The 8,127-nt window shown below is 43.8% G+C and overlaps 1 annotated feature.

Annotated features, from left to right (window-relative positions):
* Window positions 7,049–7,826: an enhancer, noted in NCBI's record as "H3K27ac-H3K4me1 hESC enhancer chr6:30481847-30482624 (GRCh37/hg19 assembly coordinates)". NCBI's record gives its function as "activates a minimal SCP1, AML or CMV promoter by ChIP-STARR-seq in primed H9 embryonic stem cells {active_cell/tissue: H9 hESC(primed)}" and the evidence as "EXISTENCE:reporter gene assay evidence [ECO:0000049][PMID:30033119]".

An 8,127-nucleotide genomic window follows, 5' to 3' on the forward strand; every position in this document is an offset into this window, starting at 1 on the left:
GTTTCTCCATGTTGGTCAGTCCGGTCTTGAACTCCCGACCTCAGGTGATCCACCCACCTCGGCCTCCCAAAGTGCTGGGATTACAGGTGTGAGCCACTGCGCCCGGCCTAATTTTTGTATTTTTAGTAGAGTAGAGCTGTGATCATGCCACTGTACTCTAGCCTGGGTGACAGAGTGAGATGAGACCCTGTCTCTTAAAAAAAAAAAAATGGCCAGGCGCCATGGCTTATGCCTGTAATCCCAACACTTTGGGAGGCTGAGGCAGGTGGATCACTTGAGGTCAGGAGTTTGAGACCAGCCTGGCCAACATAGTGAAACCCTGTCTCTACTAAAAATACAAAACTTGCCAGGCGTGGTAGAGGGCGTCAGTAATTCCAACTACTTGGGAGGATGAGGCAGGAGAATCGCTTGAAGCCAGGAGGCGGAGGTTGTAGTGAGCCAAGATCCCCCCATTGCACTCCAGCCTGGGCAACAGAGCAAGACTCCGTCTCAAAAAAAAAGAAAGAAAGAAAAGAAAAGAAAAGAAAAGGAAATATGCAGTCTATTTAGGAAAGAATGCATGAGTTTGTTCATAAAGCATAACAGTGGGCGTGGGTAACCAATGAAGACTGCTCGGAATATCCATTAAGCACAAATTCCTGCGAAAATACATAAGACCACAGGCACCAGATTCCACAACAAAGTGTGTGTGTGTGTCGACATGCATGTGTGTGTGTGTGCACGCACATGCATGTGTGTGGGGGGTGTGCCTGTGTGTTTGTGTGCACATGGGTGTGTATGTGTGCTGGTGTGGAGAAAACCTGATTAATAATGTCCAAGCCACACTCCAAGACCTCTTCCACTCAGGCTGGGGTCCCAGGAGCAGATGGTGGGCAAAGGGCAGGAATAACCTGTGCCTCAAGCTGCAAACAGGATCCATAAAATAGCCAAAAGACAGTGTTCGGGGTGTAACTAAACTTATGAGGCAAAGAGGAGAGACTGGGAGAGGACTGAGAGGAAAACCAGGTGTGAGGCTGTCATGCAAAGCAGGTCCCTTGGGGTCACCACCTGTTGTTCACCAGGGCTCAGGATAAAAGCCAGAATATCGCATGCTATGGGTTAAGAAATAGGCTTTTGAGGGAATTTTCAATTCAGTGTCAGCAAGTAAAGAGAAAGCATGAGTCCAATTCCTTTTATTTTTCCATAGAAGAGCAAACCAGGCACACTACTGGACATGCAGGTGGAGGGGAGGGATGAGGCAGTGTGTTATTGCTCTCCATTATGAGTCAAGCATGAGAGCAGCCTTATCAATGAAGAGGCACACAAACAGCGTAGGCACCTAGCACTCTTGATTAGAGTGTCAGTTATTGACAGGTTGTGCTAACCTGACTTCTAAGATGGTCTCCAGTGATCCCCCATCTTAGTATTCGAGTCTTTGTGGAATCCTTCCCACCTTGAGTTTGGTATGGACCTTGTCACTTAATTCTAACCAATGGAATATGACAAAGGTGAAAGTCTATCATATCCATGAGTAGACAATAAGAGTTTGTGGCTTTTATCTTGCTAGCAGACTCATTTACTGACTCAAGTAATCAAGCTGCCATGTTAAGGAGGTCCATGTGGTGAGGAACTGAGAGTGCTCTCAACTCAACATTCAAGAGGAACCAAACCTTCAGTCCTACCACCCTTCGTGCTTCCTACCAACAACTAAGTTAGTGAGCTTGGAAGCTCATCCTTTCCTAGTTGAGTCTTCAGGGAAGACCCCAACTATGATTGCAGCCTTGAGGGGCCCTGAAGAGAGGACCCAGCTATGCTGTATTGAATTGCTGTCCTTCAAATATTGTGAGATAATAAGGGTGTGTTGTTTTAAGCCACTTATTTTAGGACAATTTTTATGCTGTAATGATAACTAATATACAGGAGATGTTCAAAAATACAAGCTACCCAGGAACTGGAGACCTAGGGGCCCATGGCTAGTCACACGTCCCTCTGCCAGGAGTGAGAAAAACACCCCTGGTTCCACTGGATTCTAACTTTTGGAAACCCCACTCACTGGAAGAAGAGGGAGCCCCAGGTTCTAATGAGTTTGTTTTTCAGGCAACCCAGAATGACCTCCCAGCATCATTTCCAGACAGTGTGGCTCCTGACATCACAAATATAGTAGAATAACACCAAACTGAGTAAATAGGACAGTAGGCTGCAGACCCCCTCATGTGCCAATGATCTTTATAAAGACTTAAAACCTCACTATGCATAGAGTTGATAAAGGCACCAAATGAACCAGAGAAAGGAGACTCAAGTCAAGAAAATGTATCTCAACTAGGAAATGTTTTTGTGACCACAAAGGGGAGGAACCAGGAAGTTGTGGTAAACTGTAGCGGAAGTTAAAGCTAAAAAAAAAAATGAGAGAGAACCAGTGAATTTAAAAATACTTAACAGACATAATGACAAAAAGTAGTAAGTACATCTCTTTGGATCGTGAGAAAGAAGATCAGGAATGAAAGATCTAGCTGGGCCTTCCCCCACCCTCCCCAGCCTTGGTTCCCTGATTAGTGCTCCAGGCCTCTCCAGGGCCTGACACTCAATCTTCTCTTGGGAACTAATTATGGCAATGTACCACGAGGTACTGTTCCTCAGACTAAACGTGGTTTTTTGTTTGTTTGTTTGTTTTTTAGACAGGCTCTCACTCTGTCACCCAGGCTGGAGTGCAGTGGCACAATCTCAGCTCACTGCAACCTCTGCCTCCCCAGTTAAAGCAATTCTCCCACCCACTTCAGCCTCCCCAGTAGCTGGGACTACAGGTGCACGCCACCATGCCCTGCTTTATTTTTATTATTATTATTATTATTATTATTTGTATTTTTGGTAGAGACGAGGTTTCACCATGTTGGCCAGGCTGGTCTCAAACTCCTGGGCTCAAGTGGTCTGCCCGCCTCAGATTCCCAAAGTGCTGGGATTACAGGCATGAGCCACTGTGCCCAGCGTAAACGTGGTTTCTTATGTTTTTAAATTCCCCTTGAAAATATTCTCTTGTGACCAAAAAAGACCCTTGGGTGTACAGAGAATAGGTTTTGTCATAACTGTAACTAATGTGAGCTTCCACTAAAAACCCAAGATACAAATATATTCACAACTTTATTTTTCCAGTGATCCATTCTAATACCTCTTGGGGCTTCCTGTGAAATGTCTAAGCACCCCACAGCCAAAGGGTACACTCGTAGTCCCCTTCAGTGCTAAGAACAGAAAAGAAGCTGTTGCTTTTCTCTGCTATAGGTGTTGCTGTTGAAAATTCATCCCACACAATTGATGGAGATAATTTTCACTGCTTTAGTCACCTAAACAGGCCTTGCTGATCCACATTCCTGTTCAGATTACTAGGATTCTCTAAGGGAGGGATGATTGTTGAAGCTGAGTGATGGAAACACTTTGCTATTCTTTCTAATTTTTTATAAATTTTAAGTTTTCAATAATAAAAAGTTAAAAACCAAAAATTAAAAGAATCTGACAGGCCAGATATGGTGGTTCACGCCTGTAATACTAGCACTTTGGGAGGCTGAGGCAGGAGGATCGCTTGAGGCCAGGATTTCGAGGCTAGCCTGGGCAACATAGTGAGACACTATCTCTACACAAAAAAAATTTAAATTGAAAACAAAACGGCATTCCGGCTCCTTGGAGAAACGGTCGATTCTAGGACTGGGGCATCCTATGATGTCAGAAAGTATTTACATGCTCGATTAAAAGGTGAGAACCATATCAAAGGGACACAGGAGCCAACTGGAAATAATTCCAATAGTTAAAATGGAAACAATTTGAGCAACAAAATAAGTAATAATGGAATTGGATTATAACCCATAGAATAAAATAAGTATCCATTAGCCCATATTGATAAAAGAAATTCTTAAATAAATAAATGGGAAGATGTGGCAGTACTTTTTCACAGAAGAATTCATTAGCAAAGCCTAACGGTGTGGCTAGCCTGCGTCATGACAATGGTTGGGAGAAGCAGCAAAATAGCAGACTAGCCAGAAATTTAAAAGGGAAATCAAAGGAACAAAACAGACAAAGAATGCCTTAGTAAAATACCATTTAACTTTGGTAGTTTAAAAAGCTATGTGCAGCACACAGGGTTATAACTGCTTAGAAGAGAGACTTGAGAAGGCTATAGGAAGCTACTCCTCCCTGCAACTAAATATGAGGTCTCAGAAATAAAGAGAAAGCCATGGCTCACTTGTAAACTCTCTGAACTTTGAAAGTACCCTCCAAATCACACACAGCTCCAACAGCAGGGTTAGAAGCCTTACTGGCTTAAGGCATTTAAGCACAAACTCTAACAGATCACTGGCTGACCATTAAGCTATGCTGATCCAGGGGCAACCCCTAAGAATTCAGGCTTAAAAATAAAAATAAGAATTAAAAAAGGACGGGAGGCTGAGGCAGGAGAATCGCTTGAACCCAGGAGGCAGAGGTTGCAGTGAGCCGAGATCACGCCGTTGCACTCTAGCCTGGGCAACAAGAGTGAAGCTCTGTCTCAAAAACAAAAAGGAACCTGAGCAGAAATATCTGAGCAGAAATATCTGAAGCCTCATACTGCATACTGCAAGGGAAAAGGACTCCACTGAATTAGTACAGGCAAGTCACTATAAAAATATCTGAACCCTCATACTGCAAGGGAAAGGGACTCCACAGAATTAGTACAGGCAAGTCACTATAAAAACAAACAAAACAACAACCACCTTCACCCCCAAGAGAAAGAAATTGGAATCCAGAGCTAGCATATATTGTCTAAAATTTTCAGTTTTCCAAAAAAGTTACAAAAGGGCAAAGAAATAGGAAAATGCAATCCATTTGCAGGGAGAAACAGTCAATAGAAATTGTCGGCCAGGCACGGTGGCTCATGCCTGTAATCCCTGCACTTTGGGAGGCTGAGGTGTGTGGATCATTTGAGGTCAGGAGTTCGAGACCAGCCTGGCCAACATGGTGAAATCTGTCTCAATAAAAATACAAAAATTAGCTGGGCATGGTGATGCACACCTGTAATCCCAGCTACTCGGGAGGCTGAGGCAGGAGAATTGCTTGAACCACGGAGTCAGAGGTTGCAATGAGCTAATATCATGCCACTATACTCCAGCCCTGGAAATGGAGTGAGACTCTGTCTCAAAAAAAAAAAAAAAAATTGATTCACACCTAAACATTAATATATTATACTGAAACTATTACCAGCCAAAAATAGAAATGACATCTTAAAAGCAATGAGAAAAAACTCATCTCATACAAATACACTCATACACACAGACACAATAATCTTAATAGCTAACCTCATCAGTAACAATGGAGGTTAGAAGGCTGTAACATGGGCTGGGTGCCGTGGCTCATGTCTATAATCCCAGCACTTTGGGAGGCTGAGGCAGGCAGATCACGAGGTCAAGAGTTCAAGACCAGCCTGGCCAACATGGTGAAACCCCATCTCTACTAAGAATATAAAAATTAGCTGGGTGTGGTGGTACATGCCTGTAATCCCAGCTACTCGGGAGGCTGAGGCAGGAGAATTGCTTGAACCCGGGAGGCGGAGGCGCAGTGAGCCAAGATTGTGCCACTGCACTCCAGCCTGGGCAACAGAGCAAGACTCTGTCTCAAAAAAAAAAAAAAATTAAAGAAGACAGTAACATATGCAAATTTGGGGGTTAGTGGGGAGAAGCTAGCAATCAAGAATTTTACATCAAGAAAAATTATCCTTCAAAACTGAAGACCGGTACAGGGACAGTGGTTTGCACCCATAATCCCAGCACTTTGGGAGGCCAAGGTGGGAGGATCGCTTGAACCCAGGAGTTCAAGACCAGCCTGGGCAACAAAGTAAGACCCTGTCTCTGCAAAAAAAAAAAAAAAAAAAAAATTTAGCCATGTGTGGTAGTGCACACCTGTAGTCCTAGCTACTCAGGAGGCTGAGGCAGGAGGCTCTCTTAGGCCCGAGAGATTGAGGTTGCAATGAGACATGATCATGCCACTACACTCCGGCCTGGGCAACAGAGCGAGACCCTGTCTCCAAAACCAAAATTTATTCTAAAGAAAACAAAAAGAGAAGCCAACATGAACATATTCTTACATAAACAAAGACTAGGGAGATTTATCTCTTGCAGATATGTCTTACAAGAAACACTAATGTAATACTAAAGTAAGTTCTTCAGACTGAGAAGAAATGACACCAGATAATAATCCCAATCCAATGAAAAACAATTATTGTATGTCAATTAAAGATAAAACTTGTAGCTAGGCACAGTGGCGCACACCTGTAATCCCAGCTACTTGGGAGGCTGAGGCACAAGAATCACTTGAACCCAGCAGGTGGAGTCTGCAGTGAGCCAAGATCACACCACTGTAGTCCAGCCTGGGCAACAGAGCAAGACTCCATCTCAAAAATATTACATTAAAAAAAGTAAAATTTGTAAAAGAAACAAACAGCATCAGAAAAAATAATATGTTGGTAATTATTTTTTAAAAACTAAAAACTAAAAACTACAAATCTCTTCTTTTTCTTTTTCTTTTTTGAGAGACAAGGTCTCACTCTCTCACCCAGGATGGAGTGCAGTGGTTTGACCATCGCTCACTGCAGCCTCAAATCCTGGACTCAAGTGATCCCCTCACCTCAGCCTCCTCCTGAGTAGCTGGGACTACAGATGCACACCGCCATGCCTGGCTCCTTTTCATTTCTTAACTGTTTTAAAAGAAATTACATAAAACAACAATTATAAAATTACAGTGTTGGGTTTGTAACATCTAAAGATAATGTGTGTGTATATATGCACTCACACACATATGACAATAATGGTACAAAGGATAGGGAAAAGATGGAGTTACATTGAAACAAAGGAACCACATCAGATTGTAAGTCCAATCCACAAGAACAAATCATCAGAAACACTAAATAAGTTTCATACGAAAAACTTTAAGTGTATTTTACTAATTTCTTCTCTTAATTTTTTAAAAGACGTAGAATTTGGCTGGGCACAGTGGCTGACGCCTGTATTCCCAGCACTTTGGGAGGCCGAGGTGGGTGGATCACCTGAGTTCAGGAGTTCCAGACCAGCCTGGGAAACAGGGCAAAACCCCGTCTCTACTAAAAATACAAAAATTAGCTGGGCATGGTTGTGCTCACCTGAAATCCCAGTTACTCAGGAGGCTGAGTTGGGAGGATCTCTTGAGCCTAGAAAGCAGACGTTGCAGTGAGCCGAGATCATGCCACTTCACTCCAGCCTGGAGTACATCCCTACACCCCCTCAGGTTCAGTCTGAACTGAACAGGGGATACCTGTGAAAGGAAAATAAATCTTGGGGCCCGAAAATCACTAAGCTAAAGGGAAAAGTCAAGTTGGGAACTGCTGAGAGCAAACCTACGTCTCATTCTATTCGGTCACTCCTCTGCTTACTGAGATAAATGCTATCTGATTGCCTCCTTTGGAGAGGCTAATCAGAAACTCAAAAGAGGCCGGGCACAGTGGCTCACACCTGTAATCCTAGCACTTTGGGAGGCCGAGGCGGATGGATCACCCGAGGCCAGGAGTTCGAGACCAGCCTGGCCAACATGGTGAAACCCCGTCTCTACTAAAAATACAAAAATTAGCTCAGCGTGGTGGCACATGCCTGTAATCCCAGCTATTCGGGAGGCTGAGGAATGAGAATCGCTTGAACCTGGGAGGTGGAGGTTGCAACAAGCCAAGATCGCACCACTGCACTCCAGCCTGTGCAACAGGAGCGAGCCTCCATCTCAAAAAAAAAGAAACTCAAAAGAAAGTAACCATTTGTCTCTTATCTACCTATGACCTGGAAGCCCCCTCGCCACTTGGAGTTGTCCCACCATTGCTTCAAGTTGTCCCGCCTTTCCAGACCGAACCAATGTTAATCTTACATATGTTGATTGATGTCTCATGTCTCCCTAAAATGTATAAAACCAAGCTGTGCCCTGACCAACTTGGGCACATGTCATCAGGACTTCCTAAGGCTGTGTCACCGACACACATCCTCAACCCTGACAACATAAACTTTCTAAATTAACTGAGACCTGTCTCAGATATTCAGGGTTCACACTCCCCTGGACCCCCTGACTTTCTTCAGGGCACTGGCCACTTTCTTGTCTGTCTTTGGACACTCTCCTCTA

The sequence above is a fragment of the Homo sapiens genome, chromosome 6, assembly GCF_000001405.40.
Source record: "Homo sapiens chromosome 6, GRCh38.p14 Primary Assembly".
NCBI lineage: Eukaryota > Metazoa > Chordata > Mammalia > Primates > Hominidae > Homo > Homo sapiens.